Consider the following 21,613-nt stretch of genomic DNA (forward strand, 5'->3'; position numbering starts at 1 on the left):
TGGGCGCGGTGGCTCACGCCTGTAATCCCAGCATTTTGGGAGGCCGAGGTGGGCAGATCACAAGGTCAGGAGATCGAGACCATCCTGGCTGACACGGTGAAACCCCGTCTCTACTAAAAATACAAAAAATTAGCTGGGCGTGGTGGCGGGCAACTGTAGTCCCAGCTACTCAGGAGGCTGAGGCAGGAGGATGGCGTGAACCCGGGAGGCGGAGCTTGCAGTGAGCCGAGATCGCGCTACTGCACTTCAGCCTGGGGGACAGAGTGAGACTCTGTCTCAAAAAAAAAAAAAAAAAAAAAAAGAGAGAAACTGAAAAAAAAGTATGTTTTACTAGCCCGACGGCTCCACCTACTGAATTAAGTGAAAGGCCACCTCCTCTCTCTCCCCCTAATGGGCGAGAAGATGAATTAGCTATGAAACTTACTGCTCCTGTAGTTGCAACATTAAAACCTGGAGCAATTGATGGTGCTATACAAAATTCTATTCAAAAGGCTAGAGCCGAGGGAGACCTTGAAGCATGGCAATTTCCCATAACTATAATCCAGCAGGGAGAACAGAATATAGCTAATTGGACCACCTTTCCTTTTAAGATGCTCTCCTCCCCAATTTCTACCCAGCTTACCCCACTGCAATACTATCTTTAAGCCTTGGCTCCTTGGCCAGGGCCTTAGAACTGATAACCCAGTACTTTAATAACTGGAACTGGGTCTACGACAACATAATAGATCAGGACGGAAACGAATTCAGTAAATTAAAGTGAGGCGCATATTCCTATAGTGGCAAATGGGGGCAATGAGAGAATGTCCTTCTGCTGTGTTTCCAAAATCCATCTACAAAGGAGAAAGAAAGAGATATACAAGTAGTTAAAGGAAAAACAGTGTACCCTATTCCTTTAAAAGCCAGGGTAAGTTTAAAACATATAATTGATAGTTGAGGGTCTTCTCTGTGACTCTATAACTCTCCAATACTACCTTGTTGTCAGTGTAAACAAGGGTGTAGCCCGAAAGCACTGAGACCACTGACCACCACTAGCCTTCCTATCAAAAAATCCCTAACCCAGTAACCCGTGAATGGTCCAAATGCATTCCATCGGTAGCAGCAACTGCTTCGCTAACAGAAGAAAGTGGAAAAATAACCTTTAGAGGAAACCTCATTGTGAGCACACCTCACCAGTCCAGGGCTATCCTAAGAAAAAAAAGCAAAAAGGTAGCTTACTAACTAAAAAATCTTAAAGTATGGGGCTATTCTGTTAGAAAAAGGTGATTTAATATTAACCACTGAAAATTCCCTTAACCCAGCAGGTTTCTTAATGAGGGATTTAAATCTTAATTACCATACAAAGGTCTGAGCAGACCTAGGAGGAACTCCCTTCAGGACAGGAGGATAGATGGCTCCTCCTGGGTGATTGAGGGGATAAAACCACAGCAGGTATTCAGTAATTGATAGGGAGACTCTTGTAGAAACAGAGTTAGAAAAATCGCCTAATAATTGGTCTGCTCAAATGTGCGAGCTGTTTGCAGTCAGCCAAGCCTTGAAGTACTTACAGAATAAAAAAAACTCTATCTTAATCCTGACACAAAAGGTTACCTACACCCTCTCTGAAACAAATTTTCATAAGAATTGTTTATGGGAGTGCATCTTGAAGGAGCAGCTGGGTTGTTATGAAATACTCAGGAACCCAGCCCAGCTCTAGAACTCGCCCCTGAGCTCAAAGGCAATGTTGGGCATGCTGGTAAAGGACCACTAGAATCCAGCAGCGTAGACTCCTTTCTTTGTGGTCAAGAAAGGTGGGAAAACAGATGCAGGACCAGTACATTGGTCAGTGTAACGAGTCCGATAAACAGAAGTCCATGGGTGGTTATGCACCCTGGAAAGGAATAAGCATTAGGACCATAGACGACACTCTAGGACTAATGCTTATCAGAAAATGACTAGGGGTGCTGGCATCCCTATGTTCTTTTTTCAGATGGGAAATGTTCCCCCACAAGGCAAAAACGCCCCTAAGATGTATTCTGGAGAATTTGGCCTAGTCAGAGTGTATGCAACTTTTTACCTCTCAGATTTGAAACAAATTAAAATAGACCTAGGTAAATTCTCAGATAACCCTGATGGCTGTATTGATGTTTTACAAGGGTTAGGACAATCCTTTGATCTGACATGGAGAGATATAATGTTACTGCTAGATCAGACACTAACCCCAAATGAGAGAAGTACCGTCATAACTGCAGCCCGAGAGTTTGGTGATCTCTGGTATCTCAGTCAGGTCAATGATAGGATGACAACAGAGGAAAGAGAACAATTCCCCACAGGCCAGCAGGCAGTTCCTAGGCTAGACCCTCACTGGGATGCAGAATCAGAACACGGAGATTGGTGCCACAGACATTTGCTAACTTGTGTGCTAGAAGGACTAAGGAAAACTAGGCAGAAGCCTATAAATTATTCAATGATGTCCACTATAACACAAGGAAAGAAGAAAATCCTACTGCCTTTCTGGAGAGACTAAGGGAGTCATTGAGGAAACATATCTCTCTGTCACATGACTCTATTGAAGGCCAACTAATCTTACAGGATAAATTTATCACTCAGTCAGCTGCAGATACTAGAAAAAACTTCAAAAGTCCACCTTAGGCCTGGAGCAAAACTTAGAAACCCTATTGAACTTGGCAACCTTGGTTTTTTATAATAGAGATCAGGAGGAGCAGGTGGAACAGGACAAACAGGATTAAAAAAAAAAGGGGGCCACCACTTTAGTCATGGCCCTCAGGCAAGCGGACTTTGGAGGCTCTGGGAAAGGGAAAGGCTGGGCAAATCGAATGCCTAATAGGGCTTGCTTCCAGTGTGGTCTATAAGGACACTTTAAAAAAGATTGTCCGAATAGAAATAAGCCGCCCCCTTGTCCATGCCCCTTATGTCAAGGGAATCACTGGAAGTCCCACTGCCCCAGGGGACGAAGGTCCTCTGAGTCAGAAGCCACTAACCAGACGATCCAGCAGCAGGACTGAGGGTGCCCGGGGCAAGCGCCAGCCCATGCCCTCACCCTCAGAGAGCCCCAGGTATGCTTGACCATTGAGGGCCAGGAAGTTAACTGTCTCCTGGACACTGGCGCAGCCTTCTCAGTCTTACTCTCCTGTCTCGGACAACTGTCTTCCAGATCTGTCACTATCTAAGGGGTCCTAGGACAGGCAGTCACTAGATACCTCTCCCAACCACTAAGTTGTGACTGGGGAACTTTACTCTTTTCACATGCCTTTCTAATTATGCCTGAAAGCCCCACTCCTTTGTTAGGGAGAGATATCCTGGCAAAAGCAGGGGCCATTATACACTAGAATTAGGAGAAGGAAAAAGGATAAATATATATACAGACTCTAAGTATACTTACCTAGTCCTCCATGCCCACACAGCAATATGGAGAGAAAGGGAATTCCTAACTTCTGAGGGAACACCTATCAAACATCAGGAAGCCATTAGGCCCCAAAATTCTCCTTGCCTCTGAATCTACTTCCTCCGATCCCTGCCTAAAGATAATTTTATGGGGAAGAGGATTAGTTTGTGTCTTTCGGGTGACACTCAGGTGCCTTTGTGGGTGCCCACCAAACATCTGAAGATCTATCATGAACCATGGCATCTAGTGGACCCACCTGTACAGTGTGAATTGAAGGTTTGAAAAGCCTCGATTTGCTTTCCCTGTGCCTTTTGTTAGAAGGGGCCTGTTTCTCATTATCAGTGGCCTCTCGGCTACAGCCACAAAAGTTTTTGCTTCTGTTTCAGTAGATTTACTAATGTGGGGGTGGGGGTATGCTTGTGTTTTTGCAGGAGATGAACAAACCGTGTGGATGCCCTCAAGATGTGTACAACTATAGAACAGGAGATGGGTACGACCATAGAACAGGAGATGGGAGGGTCCAACCATGGACCGGGTTCCGCCAGTATGAGCCATGAGCCAGTTGAATCTGAATGCAAAGAACAAGGACCGACTGGAGTCACAATGCTTAACGGACCAATGCTTTCTGACTCAGCTCCTCTCTACCCTGAATAAAGAGACCCTAATAGTTAGGCAGGAGTATCATCACCCCTGTTCAGCATGAAGAAGTTACAGAAGATGGACGTTCATCCTTCTGCAACCCCTAGGATTAAGGGTCCTCTTGTAAAAGGGAAAGGGGAGGTATGTGGGAAGCATTCAAACCAGAGTGACTCCAGTTTGAAAAAGGGCTAAGAAAAATGAAGCTGGATCACCAACTGGCAATTAAGGAGTGCACAGCCTACAATTGCCTTGCTCAGTTAAAAAAGGCCACCTTTTATGCTAGTAATAATGATAGCAATAGTGATACCTTCTCTTTTACAAAGAAGAGAAGGGGGACATGTTGGGAAAAAGCTGAGTATTGGGAAGAAAGCTGAGGCAGTGCTTGCATGTCTGACATAATGTCCTCTGGAATGTGTCTAGACTTGCTGGCTTCTTGCTTCTAGCCCTCCTAGGCTCCTAAATAGATTGTATTCCCATCATCTCAAGTACCAGAACATGTTCCTTATAAATGCTAAACCATCACAGCTATAGATCAGGCACCTGCCCTTTTGACCGCCACATTCTCACCACCTGTTTCTTTGTTGGATTACCAATAAATAGTGTGGGCTCCCAGAGCTTGGGGCCTTTGCAGCCTCCCCAATCGCGATGGCCCCTGGTTCCACTTTACTTCTCAAACTGTCTTTTTCTCAACCCTTTGACTCTGCCAGACTTCGTCACCCCCACGACCTGGTGTTGGGTCTGATCACCCCAACGACCTATATTTTGTGCTACCCTCTTATCTCATTCTGTGACTAAGAATGCCTAACCTCCTGGGAAGGCAGCCCAGTAGGTCTGAGCCTTATTTTTCTCAGTCCTTATTCAAGATGGAGTTGCTCTGGTTCGAATGCCTCTGACACTTAGAGCTTTGTTGTTGAAAACTGAATTATATACTGTACTTTTTCTTTTCTCTTATTGAAAAATCATCCTACTTTGTTGATTATTTTCTGTAACGTCTTGAGGTAATTTAAAATTCCACCTGTCTCCATCAGAGAGACAGGGACTCTTGTCCTTTTTATTCACTGCTATACCATGGGTGTCTAGAATATTGCCTGCACATGGTAGGTGCTTAAATAATATTTTGAATAAGTTAATACTATGAAGCATTGGTAAATTCACTCAATTTTAATGAATGAATTAAATATCTTCAAATTTAATGACAATTGTCTTTATTCAGATTTCTGAACAATATATTCAGAGAAATAACTTTAGAGAAAAAGACAAGTGAAGAAAAAGAATAAGAAGAAAAGCAATGGATAAACAGGAAAAGAGAATAAAAAGGAAAAATTTTAAACTCCTATTAACTCCCCCAGAAATATTGATTTTATTGCTTATTGTTTAATAGGTGAACCATCTGACTCTGCATATGCCTTGTGGTGAAAATGTTTGGGACATAGGAATGAGACATTTTTTGCATATACGTCATAGTGGGCATTGGCATACCTGTGGCCTCTCAGAATCTTTTGAACACTCTTTCTAAATGTTGGTAACTTCCTATACTGCAAATGCTAGCTCTGTAAGTGGGATGCTATAAATCTCACCTTCCCAGTCTCTCTCATCTCAGAACCCAGCATGTCCACTGGATCTTGACTTAGCAGAATTCAAGTAAGATTTGACCCCAAAGGAAAACACTGCGAAAAAAGATTTTGCAGCGTCTGTCAAGGGTGCAGAGTCTGATCAAGAGGTACAAAACTCTCAGCAGCATCAGAAGCAAAATGTCCTGGTGGTATAGTCTGTGTTCGCTGTTCGCAGAGGCTCTGTGGACAGTCTCATGGTGGCTTTAGGGAGTGCAGGATTGTCCCTATGATTTTTTGTTAAAACTTGCTAAAGTTGCCAGGCACGGTGGCTAATGCCTGTAATCCCAGCACTTTGGGAGGCCGAGAAGGGTGGATCGCCTGAGGTCAGGCGTTCGAGACCAGCCTGGCCAACATGGCTAAACCCCGTCTCTACTAAAAATACAAAAAATAGCCAGGCATAGTGGTACGTGCCTGTAATCCTAGCTACTTGGGAGGCTGAGGCAGGAGAATCACTTGAACCCAGGAGGTGGAGGTTACAGTGAGCCGAGATCATGCCGTTACACTCCAGCCTGGGCAACAGAGCCAGACTCCATCTCAAAAAAATAAAATAAAAACTTGCTACAGTTGTTTGGTTCTGTTGTTTGTAACCAAAAGCCCTAACTGAGATAACCATTCACAGTGTAAGTTCACACTGATGGTTTTTAATGTTTTGTAAATCCAGCCCATTTAATATATGTGGATTCCTCAAGGCAGAGGCTAGCCAGTGCTGGCACATCACTGGATACACAGGAATTACAATATAGATACATTTGTTCTTTCTCCTTTCTATTCATCTACAGGTCTACATGATTGCATTTCCATAACTAATGAATGCATAGCCCTAACATAAAATACAAAGTGCTACATATGCACAAAATAAAAATATATACAGAACCTGATGCATATTTTTGTTCATATTTTCTAAGAAGACAAAATAAACACAATGTTGAGGCATTGCTAGGAACTTACAGAATTGCAAAACAGGGTTGTGAAAGGCAGCTAAGGGAACAGGAAAGATCACTGGCATCTAGTCCTAGTTCAATTATGGACGAACCATGTGATCTTGGGCCTCCTGGACCTCAGTTTCCTCATATGCAAATGCTAGGGTTGGGCTAATAATAATAGCTATTATTTATTCAGCATGTGCTTTGCCAGGCAAGCTAAAAGAGAGGTAAGTAATGTTATTATCCCAAGCTAAGAGAGGATGTATGAGAGGTGAAGAAACTTGCCCAAAGTCACTGTTAGACAGTGGCAGAGCTGGACTATGGACCCAGACATACTGCTACTAAAGCTTTATTCCTGAACATTTAGGGTGATTCCATATCTTTGCTATTGTGCATAGTACTGAAATAAACCACAACTAGGATTTTTAAAATCCTTGCAGACAGATATTTATGTTCAATTACTCTGACTGTGTCCTTGGATGCCACAGCAGTGTTAAATTCCTATTAAAGTTTCTAAATACTTGTCAATTTCTGTACTTGTGAACTGGTAACAATTTGCATACTGGTTCTGGTCTATAGATCATACTTTGAATGGTACTGTTATTAAAATACTTAAAGTTATTGCATAGTATGAAGAAAAGCTAATTGGTTAACAATTCTGTTGGAGATGTAAGACAGCTCTGTTCAAGGGCAGTCTACTCTCCATTCAGTGGCTGTACTAATCTTACTGCCTTGAGAAACAAGGCAAGTTCTACTGTAAGTATACTATACTTTGTTATAAAATCAGCTCCTCATACCATGTTACCGATTATAGAACTGTTACAATTGTAGAACCAAACTTTATCTTATTCTCTGTCATCTAATCAATGATCAGAAAGTCTTCAATTTTTGTTCGCCCTGCATGTCATATACACACCTTCTTTTTTCTTTTTAAAAATTTTTTATAACCGTATTTTACTTTTTTTTTTTTTTTTGAGACGGAGTCTGGCTCTGTCACCCAGGCTGGAGTGCAGTGGCGCGATCTCGGCTCACTGCAAGCTCGGCCTTCCAGGTTCACGCCATTCTCCTGCCTCGGCCTCCCGAATAGCTGGGACTACAGGCGCCCGCCACCGCGCCCGGTTAGTTTTGTTTTTGTATTTTTAGTAGAGATGGGGTTTCACCATGTTAGCCAGGATGGTCTCAATCTCCTGACCTTGTGATCCGCCCGCCTCGGCCTCCCCAAGTGCTGGGATTACAGGCGTGAGCCACTGCGCCCGGCCTTTAAAAAAATTTTAATAGAGACAAGATCTTGCTATGTTGCCCAGGCTGGTTTCAAACTCCTGAACTCAAGCAACCCTCCCGCCTCAGCTTCCCAAAGTGTTGAGATTACAGGCATGAGCCACCATGCCCAGCTACCTTCTTTTTTATTGCCATCACGTTCATAGGCTCATGAGTCCTATACTATTACAAAGATCATTGTGATAGTCTCTTGTCATGAGTGTCTGCTTCCTTTTCTTTTTTTTTTCTTTTTTTTTTTTTTTGAGATGGAGTCTCACTCTGTTGCCCAGGCTGGAGTGCAATGGTGCAATCTCGGTTCACTGCAACCTCCACCTCCAGGGTTCAAGTGATTCTCCTGCCTCAGCCTCTGAGTAGCTGGGACTACAGGCATGTGCCACCACGCCCAGCTAATTTTTTATATTTTTAGTAGAGACTGAGTTTCACCGTGTTAGCCAGGATGGTCTTGATCTCCTGACCTCATGATCTGCTCGCCTGGACCTCCCAAAGTGCTGGAATTACAGGTGTGAGCCACCGCACCTGGCCTGCTTCCTTTTCTTTTCTTCATTTAGAAGGTGAAGTGAGAAGAGACTGATTTTAATGCATTCTCTAGCTCTAACATTCCATGATTTATCCCCACTGTGCTTATTGATTCTGTTTTGATCTGCCCAAGGACCTAAGTGCCACATCAGAGTCTATGCCACAAAAAAATTCATAGGAAAGGCAATACAGCCTGGAGGTCAGCAGCTCAGATTTGAAAGGTACAAGCAAGTTCAATATGCTGACAATCCAGAATCTGTAATCTTGGCTAATCTGCATTGACATTTATTGTTTTTTCCATTTAGAATTATAACCCTACAGGTAACTAATATTTCTGTAATCATATTAATATATTAATTAATATAATTAATATTTCTGTAATCCTAATATTTAAGCTATTAATCCTAAATATTAATTAGGATTAATAGTTCTCAATCCTAAACTGAATGAGAAATAACGAGAATAGTGTAGAAATAACAAAAATCACAAATTTAGGCCAGTGCAGTGGCTCACACCTGTAATCCCAGCACTTTGGGAGGCTGAGGTTGGCAGATCACTTGAGATCAGGAGCTTGAGACCAGCCTGGCCAACATGGTGAAACCCCGTCTCTACTAAAAATACAAAAATTAGCTGGGTGTGATGGCGGGCACCTGTAATTTCAGCTACTCAGGAGGCTGAGACAGCAGAATCACTTGAACCCAGGAGGCAGAGGTTGAAGTGAGCCAAGAATGTGCCATTGCACTCCAGCATGGGTGACAAAGCAAGACTCTGTCTCAAAAGCAAAAATAAAAACATCACAAATTTAAATCTGTGTTATTAATACTTTTTAACTGCTTTAGGTATAAAAATAACAATAAGTTTTATAATCAATATGTTTGTGTTTTTTAGCTTGTTAGATGTGTATATACTATTTAAGATAATCTATTAGACTTGTGATTTTAATAATTATGAAACTTTTATTATGTGCTTCAATGTTTACATTAATCAATAATGTTTACATTTAATTTGTTTTTAGTATCATATAGTAACTCATGTTTAGATACTTAATGGAATGAATTATCATTACCCAAAGTACATCTAGGAATGAAAGTTCCTTTCTTTGAAAAGCTCCAGGATATTGAAGACCCTATCAACATCCCCATTTCCCTTGTTTGCCCTCAAGGAAGTAAACCATTTTGTGCTTCGGAAGCATTGGAGGGAAGAAGGAGGAGAGGGCGAACACAGATTCTGAGGTGAAGATAGATTCTGATCTGAATTCCAGTGTATTTTTCCTGAAACACGTTGAAGACAGATGTGAGAGTGATGGGAATCCCTGATCCACTCCCACATGGCACTCCAGGAGAAGGAATAAACTCTCAGTGAGGGTAGCTTGGTGATGCTTGGGAACTGAACAAGTGTCATGGTTTCGGGAAATAAGATACTCTTACTTGAGCTTCAAGTGAAAGCAGTAGAGGTGACTGCCTGCTAATAATTTATGCAAGCATTGACAACACTTCAGAGGTGGTCAAAACGGACTGAAGACCAGAGTCCTTTCCCCTAAATTTTTTGGATTGTACATCATGCCACAGATTTTTTGTGATCCTAGAAAGAAGGTGGGACCTGCCTGCACTATCTTCACTCCTTGAGAAATGAGCTGAGATGGGTTAAATTTCCCACTGATCCTGATGAGTAGCCCATATAGGTAAACATTAGAAAACTACAGAAAATGAGGTTTTATTGGACCCAGTATTGTGAAGGAGATTTTCATCCTTTATAAATGTGGTGGAGCCCTGCACACTTTGACTCAGCCTGACCTATTCAGGGCCTATGAGAAAGGGAGAGATGGCTGGGCACAGTGGCTCACGCCTGTAATCCCAGACTTTGGGAGGCCAAGGCAGGTGGATCACCTGAGGTCAGGAGACTAGCCTGGCCAACATGATGAAACACTGTCTCTGCTAAAAATACAATAATTAGCTGGGCATGGTGGTGGGCACCTGTAATCCAGGCTACTCAGGAGGCTGAGGCAGGAGAATAATTTGAACCTGGGAGGCAGAGGTTGCAGTGAGCCGAGATCACACATTACACTTCAGCCTGGGCGACAAGGGTTAAACTCAGTTTCAAAAGAAAGAAAGAAAGAAAAGAAAAGAAAAGAAGGAAGGGCGGGCGAGCACCATGGGATGCCTCATACCTGGCAGTACCTGTCCCCATGGGAGGAAATATAAAAAGGACCACCAGGTGAAGCAGGTGGAGGCAAAGCCCAGTAATGTGTCTTAAGTCAAAGATGGCCAACTAGAACCTAGCCCTTCATTTCTATGGCCTAGGAAACAAAGCCAAAGCCTAAGTCACCTTTTCCTGATTCAATAATAGGAATTGTGCCACAATAATATGTAATTTTTTGTGTCTTGAGAAATTTTAAAGTGCACTCAAGAAATCAAGCCAGAGCTTGCTCAAGGATAGTTCAAAGTCTATTTTACATAAAACTATTTTTCCTGTGATAATCTTGTTACACATAAATTTGATTTTTCTCTAGAGACCTAAGATAGTATTAATAAAATAGTATTTTCATTACAACCCTAACGAGATAATGGACTAGACTAACAGACTGTACACTCAAAGCTTTTTCTTTGAGATTTTCACAATTATATGTAAAGTTTATGTGTAGATGATGATTAGTATTATTTTGAAATTTCAGATAAGCATTGTGGTCTCTACCTTAAAGTATTCCAAGACTTTTTAAAGGAAATGGTTCTTTCAACTTATGTTCCTTATTTTCACAGCATTAAAATATGTTTGCTCATTCTGCTGGGGGAAGGGTTAGTAAAAGACCTTCAAAATTCATGGAAAGGTTCTTGGATATATGTCACTGGTCTCCAAGAGGAAGTCAAAGGCTTAATAAAGAAAATGGCACGATTTGGGCTGTTTTGCTTTTCCAAGTTTTATATTATAAAAGTAATCCATGTTCACAATTTTAAAAAATGAAGCAATATAGAAATGGTGTTCAGAGGTATTTACTACTAACAGTTGGGTACATGATAACACATTCTTGGCTTTTAATTTCACTTTGGTGTTCTCAGTGTGGTGATTTTTTTTTTTTTTTTTTTTTTTTTTTTTTGTAGAGAGAGGGTCTTGTGTTGCCTAGCTGGTCTCAAACTCTTGGCTTTAAGCCATCCTCCTGCCTTGGCCTCCTGAAGTACTGGGATTATCAGTGTGAGCCACTGCACCTGGTGAGGAGCAGTGATTTAATACATACCAATTCCTTGATCAGTCACATTCATGAAAAAAAAAATACGACAACAACAAAAAGGATTTTAATTAGGAAAAATGAAACAATGTAATTTGAAAATATTGATAACATCTTAACTCATACATAGCAGCTTCATTTGATCTTCAAAAGAAAGGAAGCATGCAAAATGTTGATAAAAAAGTAAAGGAAATTACACTTAATGAAGGAGAAAATAGATTAATATTTTAATAGCCTCTAAAAAATAAGTTCAATTATGTGTGAAAGAGAAGATAAAAATAATGAGAGATAAAGCATTAGTTTTTTTTTTCCTGATCACGTCTGTGACTATATTAAGCATCACAACCTTCATATTAGTATGCATTGGGGAACATTTTCTTTGTCATACATATTAACACAGAATTGCCTCTCTGTCATGAACGGTATCATGCTCTATGGTATTGCCTTGTGCACTCCAGTTGTACAGAAAAGAAAGCAGCATGATTGGAATTAAATTGTCTAGATCAGGCTACATCAGTTTGTTTTGTCATTTTATCCCCAGTGATTAACATAGTGCCTGGCTTAGAAGTACCTAATAAATATTTGCCAAGTAAGTGATCATAGCAAGAGCATTTATTGAGTGCTTTCTAGGTGTCAGGCACTGTTCTAAGCACTGTTCTAATCAACACTATTTCATACAATCCTCACATAACCCTACAAATTATTTCATAAGGTACCCATTTGTTCATTCTCTCTAGAGTAAAGGTTAAACACTTTTAGAATCATGACAATTTTAGGTTTCCACTAACTCACTCCTATTGTCCAAAATATGGAATTTATCTGCCTTTCTGTGCCCCTCTGGTGCTTGGCAAATCACACCTTGTTTGCTTGTTTTTTGCAGTTTTAAAACTGCTGTAAATACTCTCATATGTCTTCTCATAGATACATGTATTGGTTTCTCTAGGGTAAGTGTCAAGGTTGTAGGACAGGTGTATGCCAGATCTGTTCCCCAAGAGGTTGTAGCATTTTCTATCTGCCCACAATGTATGAAGGTTCTGATTTTTCCACATCCTCACCAAATATTTTTTAATTTTTCTAAATTAAGAACAATAGTCTCTTTAATTTTATCCATTCTAGAGTGTGTATAGTGCTATTTCATTTTAGTGTTAATTTGCATATTGCTGATGACTAATGACTTTGAACATGTTTTCAGGTGCTTATTGGCCATAGTTTATATTCGGTCATGAAATATCTATTCAAAACTTTTATCCATTGTTTATTAGCTTTTTGTTATTGCGGTATAAGAAATCTAGGCAGAGATACACATGTATGTCTATATACATCATTTTCTATATGATCTATATCCCATAAATATCTATAACTATATATCTAGATTTATATCTCCTAGATATATGTTGAAGATGTATATGTGTGTGTGTAAAACATATGCATACCTATATGTTTTGTAAATTCTTTTTACAGTCTGTGGACTGCATAATTTATTTTCTTAGTGGTTTCTTTGTTTGAAATTATGATGAGGTCTAATTTATCAGTTTTTTCTTTCATGGTTATTGCTTTCTGTGACTTGTCTAAGAAATCTTTGCCAAGACTCAAGTCATAGAGATATTTTCCTATTTTTCTTCCAAAACCTTTACAATTTAGCTTTCATGTTTAGGTCTATAATCTATCTCAAAGTCGTCATCTGTATGTATGGTGTGAGATAAGAGTAGAGATTCATTCTTTGTGAATATTTATTTCTTTCCATGCCATTTGTCAAAAAGACTCTCCTTTCCCCCACTGGATTGCTTTGGTGCCTTTATAAGAAGTCAGAAGGCTGTATAAGGGTAGCAGTCTTCAGACATTCTGTTTGTTTTATTTATCGATTTGTTGATCCTTATGCTAGTACAACACTATCTTGACTAGTGTAGCTTTAGGTTAAGTCTTGAAGTCAGGTAATGGAAGTCCTCTTTATTCTATTTCAAGATTACTTTGGCTATTCTAGGTCCTTTGATTTTCAACAAATTTTAAAGTCATCTTGTCAATTTCTACAAAAAGTCTGTTGGGATCCTGATTGGGATTTATTCTATCTTCCAATTTGTGTTTGATATTTTAACAATATTGAGCTTTACAGTCCTTGAACATGGTATATCTCTCCAATTTTTCAGGTCTTTAATTTATCCCAGTAATGTTTTCTAGTTTTCAGTGTAGAGGGTTAGCATGTCATTTGTTAAATTAATTCCTAAGTATATTATGGTTTTGTTTTTCATTTTTGAGATAGGGTCTTGCTCTGTCACTCAGGCTGGAGTGCAGTGGTGTGATCACAGCTCACTGAAGCCTCAACTTCCTGGGTTGAAGTGATCCTCCCACCTCAGCCTCTCCAGTAGCTGGGATTACAACAGTGAGCCACCACTCCCACTAATGTTTGTTTTTATTGTTGTTGTTGTTGTTGTTGAGACAAGGTTTCACCATGTTGCCCAGGCTAGTCTCGAATTCCTGGGCTCAAGTGATACTCCCAATTCCCACCTTGGCCTCCCAAAATGCTGGGATTACAGGCATGAGCCACAGTGCCCGGCCATATTATATTTTTTGATGAATTATAAATGAAGTTGTTACCTAATTTCATTTTTCAATAGATGATTGCTATATTTTAAAAAAATCATTGATTTTTGTATATTAATTTTGCATTCTGCAACCTTATTAAACTCAATTAAATATTTCTATGGGTAGTTTTGTAGATTCCTTAGAATTTTCTATGAATTGGTTAGATCATCTGCAAATTAAAGCAGTTTTCCTTGTTTCCTTCTGATCTTTAGGCCTTTTCTTTGTTTTTCATTCTTTATTGCAAGGAATAGGACCTTCAATAAGATGTTGAATGGAGGTAGTGATAATGGGCATTTTCGACTTGTTCATTCAATATTTTACTATTAAATGTGATCTTGGCAGTGTTTTTTCATAGAAGACATATTGAGAAAATTCTCATACTTCTAGCTTGTTGAGAATTTTTTATCATGAATGTTTACTTGTTTTTGAATAGATGATTTTTTTTTTTTTTTTTTTTTTAGACGGAGTCTCGCTCTGTCGCCCAGGCTGGAGGGCAGTGGCGCGATCTTGGCTCACTGCAACATCCGCCTCCCGGGTTCACGCCATTCTCCTGCTTGAGCCTCCTGAGTATCTGGGACTACAGGCGCCCGCCACCACGCCAGGCTAATTTTTTGTATTTTTAGTAGAGACGGGGTTTCACGGTGTTAGCCAGGATGGTCTCGATCTCCTGACCTCATGATCCACCTGCCTCGGCCTCCCAAAGTGCTGGGATTACAGGCTTGAGCCACCGCGCCCGGCCGAATAGATGATTTTTTAGAGCAATTTCAGGTTCACAGCAATATTGGGCAGAAAGTACAGAGATTTCCCATATACCTCCTGCCTGCCCCCCCACGTGCATAAGTTCACCATTATCAACATCCCCTAAAAGAGTGGTACATATATTACAATGAAATGCAACATTGACACATGATTATTACCTAAAATCTATAATTTACATTAGGGTTCATTGTTGGTATTACACAGTCTATTGGTTTGCACAAACTTATAAGGGCACGCACCATTACAGTATCATGCAGAATAGTTTCACTGCCCTAAAAATCCTCTGTGTTCCACCTATTCTTCCCTTCCTCTCTCCTAACCCCGGGCAACCACTGATCTTTTTAGTCTCCATAGGGTGTTTATTTTTATTACATCATTTTTACACATCTATTGAAATGATCACAAGGTCTTTTTCTCCTTACTCTGTTAATACAGTGTGTTACATTGATTATATTTTGAATGGAATAAACCCTATTTGATCATAATGGATGATCTTTTTTATATATTGCTGAATTTGATCCACAAGTATTTTGTTAACTTTTTTATTTATTTATTTATTTTAATTTTATTTATTTATTTATTTTTTTGAGACGGAGTTTCACTCTTGTTGCCCACGCTGGAGTGCAATGGCACAATCTCAGCTCACCCCAACCTCCGCCTCCCGGGTTCAAGCGATTCTCCTGCCTCAACCTCCCGAGTAGCTGGGATTACAGGCATACGCCACCATGCCTGGCTAACTTTGTATTTTTAGTAGAGACGGGTTTTTTTTTTTTTTTTTTTTTTTTTTGAGACGGAGTCTCGCTCTGTCGCCCAGGCTGGAGTGCAGTGGCGCGATCTCGGCTCACTGCAAGCTCCGCCTCCCGGGTTCACGCCATTCTCCTGCCTCAGCCTCCCGAGTAGCTGGGACTACAGGCGCCCGCTACCACGCCCGGCTAATTTTTTGTATTTTTAGTAGAGACGGGGTTTCACCGTGTTAGCCAGGATGGTCTCGATCTCCTGACCTCGTGATCCGCCCGCCTCGGCCTCCCAAAGTGCTGGGATTACAGGCGTGAGCCACTCCGCCCAGCCTTGTTAACTTTTATGTTTCATCTGCCTTCAAAAGGGATATTGGTGTGGTGTTTATCTCTTTCTCTGTAGTGTTCTTTTCTCAGGATTTTGTACTGGGGTATCACAAAGCTCATAAAACAAACGGTCGCTTCTCTTTTATTTTCTGAATTAGTTCATATAAAGATAGTGTTAAATATTTCTTAAATATTTGATAGAGTTCCCTATTAAATCTGTTTTTTTTTGTGTGTGTGTGAGGTTAATTAACTCCATTTTAATAATAGGTATAGAGCTATTCGGTTTTTCTGTTTATTTTTGTGAAACTTTTTGGTATATCTTTCAAAGAGTGTTCACTTTATCTAAGTTGACAATTTGTTGGCATAACACTCTTATTATCTTTTTAATATCTGTGGAATCTGGGCCGTGCACAGTGGCTCACACCTGTATTCCCAGCACTTTGAGAGGCTGCAGTGAGAGGATCTACTGGGCCCAGGAGTTTGAGACTAGCCCGGGCAAGAAAGCGAGACGCCCTTGGCACGGTGGCTCACGCCTGTAATCCCAGCACTTTGGGAGGCCGAGGCGGGCAGATCACGAGGTCAGGAGATCAAGACCATCCTGGCTAACACCATCCTGGCTAACACGGTGAAACCCTGTCTCTACTAAAAATACAAAAAATTAGCCAGGCATGGTGGCGGGCACCTGTAGTCCCAGCTACTTGGGAGGCTGAGAAGGGAGAATCGCTTGAATCTGGGAGGCGGAGCTTGCAGTGAGCCGAGATTGTGCCACTGCACTCTAGCCTGGGAGACAGAGCAAGACTGTGTCTCAAAAAAAAAAAAAAAAAAAAAAAAAAAGGGAGATGCCATGTCTTCAAAAGTAAAACAATTAGGCCGGGTGTGGTGGGTCACGCTTCTAATCCCAGCACACTGGGAGGCTGAGGTGGGCGTGTCATCTGAGGTTAGGAGTTTGAGACCAACCTGGCCAACATAGTGAAACTCCGTCTTTACTAAAAACACAAACATTAGCTGGGCATGGTGGCGGGTACATGTAATCCCAGCTACTTGGGAGGCTGAGGCAGGAGAATCACTTGAGCCTGGGAAGCGGAGGTTGTAGTGAGCTGAGATCACATCACTGCACTCCAGCCTGGGCAACATAGGGAGATTCTCGGAAAAAAACAAAAAACAAACAAACAAAAAAACACACAGAGATTGTTGCCCCTGTAGTCCCAGCAACTCAGGAGGCTGAGGCAGGAGGATTGTTCGAGCCCCAGAGTTCATGGCTACAGTGAGCTATAAGTACACCATAACACTTTAGCCTGGGCAACAGAGGGAGACCTAGTCTCTTAAAAAAAGTTCTGTAGAATCTGTGGTGACAACCCCACTTTTCAGCTAATATTATTCATTTCTGTTCCTTCTTTTTCCTTGACAAATTTTTTTTTTTTTTTTTTTTTTTTTTTTAAGAATCATGGTCTCTCTTTTGTCACTCAGGATGGAGTGCAGTGGCATGAACATGGCTCACTGCAGCTTCGACCTCCTGGATTCGAGCAATTCTCCCACCTCAGCCTCCCAATGACCTAGGACTACGGGTGTGAGTCACTGTGCGGGAGCTCCTTGACCAATTTAACTTGAGGATTATAAGTTTTGTTGATCTTTTCAAAGACTAACTTTTGGTTTTCTTAATTTTCTCATTGTTTGTCTCTTTTCTGTCCCATTGGTTTCTTCCCTTTTCTTGCTGTTATTCATTTTAGGTTTTCTTTGCTATTGTTTTCGTATCTCCTTAAGGTGGAACCTTAGGTTATTCATTCTAGATTTGTTTCTTTTTAAATTTTCATATAACCATTTGAAGCTAAAAAATGTTCCTCTAAGTACTGCTTTAGCTGTACCCCTCAATTTTAATGTTTTATTTTTTATTATTCACCTAGATATGTTTTCTAGTGATTTCTTCTTTTACCCATGGCTTTTATAAATGGGTTGTTCAATTTCTCAATATTTGGAGGTTTCTTAGGTATCTATTATTCATTTCTAATTTAGTTTCAATGTGGTTAGACAACAGACTCTGTATGATTTCAGTTTTTAAAATTTGAGACATCTTTCATGGTCCAGAGTATGGTTTACCCTTAAGACACATACTATATGTCCCTGAAAAAAATACATATTCTGCAATTGCTAGGTGGGTGGTTAATAGGTTGTTCAGGTTATCTTTCTCATTACTGATTTTATTTAGCTTTTCTATCAGGTAATGAAAAACAGTTCTGCCAGGTGTGGTGGCTCACTCCTGTAATCCCAGCACTTTGGGAGGCTGAGGTGGGTAGATCATGAGGTCAGGAGTTCGAGACCAGCCTGGCCAACATGGTGAAACCCTGTCTCTACTAAAAATACAAAAATTAGCCAGGTTTGATGGTGCATGCCTCTAATCCCAGCTACTCGGGAGGCTGAGGGAGGAGAATCGCTTGAACCTGGGAGGCAGAAGTTGCAGTGAGCTGAGCTCACACCATTGCACTCCAGCCTGGGCAACAGAGCAAGACTCCGTCTCAAAAAAAAAAAAAAAAAGGAAAAGAAAAAGAAAAAGAAAAGAAAAAAGGTCTTAAAATCTCCAGGTATGATTGTGAAATTATCTATTTCTCCATTTAATTCTATCAATTTGCCTTTCATGTATTTTGAAGTGGGCATACAATCCAGGTCAAATATCCACCATTTTTTGATGGCCTAGGTTCTATTTTTATTTCAACTGCATTAGCAACTCCATTTTTCAATTCATTTGAACTGTAACAATTTTATTGCTAAGTAAATCATGGTATTCAAATTATTGTCATAGAAAATACTATTCTACAAAGATGGAGTTATTGTCATAATTAACACTTTGGGATACCTCACATGTTTGAAAGTTACTTGATGGTGTGGAAGAGGCCATTTACAGATGTAGACTTATGTATAATTTATGAAAGCATAGGTTGTAAGAAAATGGAATTTTTGATATGGATAATTGCCTATGTTCATAAACAGTGGCAAGTCTTAATTGAATTAGTTGAGTAGCATTAGCATTAACCCTCTTCCATTCATAGCTGGGCTGGCTATGGTACAAAAATCATGTCATTCTTAGATAATATACTCAAACGTCAATTAAAGATGTAAATTTATTAATTTGGAAATATGCCACTTCATCCATCATACCTAGTAAGAAACAACAGGAAAATTTGTCGTAAATAATGGATTAGATAAAAGTAAAAATAATTGAAACTTTATTATCTTTGGAAAAAGCACCACTGATATTATAAGGAGAATAAACTTATTTATATATTAATTCATTCCCTTGTTATTTCAGCAATATCTGAGTGCCTCGTATCTGTCAGGCACTGTGGACAAAATAGTTAACAAAAAGACATTGTCCCTACTTTCATGTGGCTTAGATAGTGAAAGAGACAAACATTAATCTAGTAATTACATCAAGTACCACAAAAGAGATACTCATGGTGCTGGGGGGTGTGAGTGAGGGTTGTGATAAGGTGGGTAGTTAGAAAAGACCTTTCAAGGAGTTGGAAGTGAGCATGCACTAAAAGATGAGTAGTAGTTGCCTACTCTAGGTTAAAGGAATGGGGATTAGAAGGATAGGTAGAGAGAAGAGCAGGTGCAAAAAATGCTTAGAAGGAAGGCAGGTATAGTTAGACCTAAGAGAAAGGAAGTAAACATGGTATAAGATGACGTTGGAGAAGCAGATAGAGGTCAGACCATGCAGGCCTAGTAGGATTGAAGTGTTTTAAGGAGGTGATGACATAATCTGTTTAGACTTGCATAATGTTACTCTGAATGCAGGCTAGAGAATGGATCAGATGAAGGCAGTATTAATTATTGGACATCAGTTACAATGCTATTCTTGGAACAAATTTTGAGACTACTATCTGTCAGGAATGTGCTGTGTTGCTAAGTGCTGGAGATATGGAGATACATTGGTGAATAAGACCAAAAAGGCTCTTACAGAACTGAAAGCATCTTAATTATTTCAAAGGCAAAACATATATGTATTATGAATAAAGATATCGGTACTTTTATATGTACAATATAAAATATAAATATCTATAGCAAGAAGACTAGACTAATGGAAATAAAACTTTTGATCTTGGTTTTGTCAATAACTAGTTACCTGACCTCGGCAAAGGAGTGTAACCTCTATGTTGCTGGCCTTGGTAAAACTCATCTGTTAAATGAAGAATGAGGCTAAGGAGCTGAGATTTTTTTCCCTCCCGTATCTGAAATTTTACTAATTCAATTACATAATTTGAAATAATAGCTTTGTCATATCTGGAAACCTCTTGCTCCTTCATAGAAAGCTAATTCTATTCTTCCAAATGAAACTTTAAGTGCTAAATTTGTAGAGTCTTGCAAGTATGTGTCAAGTGATTTATAGCCTAATGGTTCAGATGAATAAAGCAACAATTCCTATACTAATTTACGGACTATTGAAGTGTGTAGAATAGCTTCTTCTGGCTCACTGTGATTATACTTTCTAAAGCTTATTTTATAGGCACAGATAACAGGTTAGAAGATGCCATATTACAACCAACTTGGAAATATGACATTTTAATTGGAAAATGTTAATAATTCCAAAAAAGGACAGAACTCCATGATCATTCACTAAAACTTTTGAAATAATAATCTTTAATAATAAATTCTTGGGGGGGACTGAATCTTTGTAGTGGTACCTAGTGTGGCATTATGTACAGCTATGTACTTAATGAATGTGTTGCAGGGTAGGAATGGCAATATACAAGGAGAGAAACAATTACATGAGGTCTAGGTGACATTACGATGTTAATATTTAGGTAAAGTAAAACATTTAATCCTATGATGAAAGATTTAAATTTACCATAAAACAGTGTTACTGCTTGATTATATAACATTTCATATTTGGAAGTAAAATCTATAAATTATATTTTGTTGTAACTTTAGGTAATAAAAACAAAGCCCACCACAATAATTGTTGCCTAGATCATCTTGGTAAGAAAATTAATAATTTTTCAAATATACCAGTTCTCATTAGTAGACTAGAACAAACTATAAGGGTGTGAGAAAGCTTTACTCTGATTTGATGAATGATTGTACTGGCAGTGTTCACATTTGTGAACGAGGTTGGTGGGGGGGAGTAGATACACCATAACAAATACTAACTTTCCTAAACTGGCCATTCTCTGCTTCTCTGAGGGAGTATAGATGAAAAAAAGAAAGATGGATATGGAGGGGAGAGGGGAGAGAGGAAAGGAAATATGAATACAGAGGAAAGAGTAAACTGGAAGAGGAACAAGGGTGAGATGGGGATCCCGAAGGATGGTCCAGAGTGTTAGTGAATCCGGTTGGAGATGCAGATGGGGAAGCTGCTCCTCCACAAGAAGTTCCATCCTCCACATCAAAAATTATTGTATTGCATGGGGGAAAATACATCATATTCTTCAATATACTAAGTACTTCAATTCCTTTACTATTTTGTGGCTAAAACATGTTCATTCAGCATCTTAGGTATTGTAGATTACATATTTTTTTATAGTTGAGATATATATATATATGTATATATATATATATATATATTTTTTTTGAGACAGAGTCTCGCTTTGTCACCCAGGCTGGAGTGCAGTGGCGCGATCTCAGCTCACTGCAAGCTCCGCCTCCCAGGT

The sequence above is a fragment of the Homo sapiens genome, chromosome 3 (genome assembly GCF_000001405.40).
Source record: "Homo sapiens chromosome 3, GRCh38.p14 Primary Assembly".
Taxonomy (NCBI): Eukaryota; Metazoa; Chordata; class Mammalia; order Primates; family Hominidae; genus Homo; species Homo sapiens.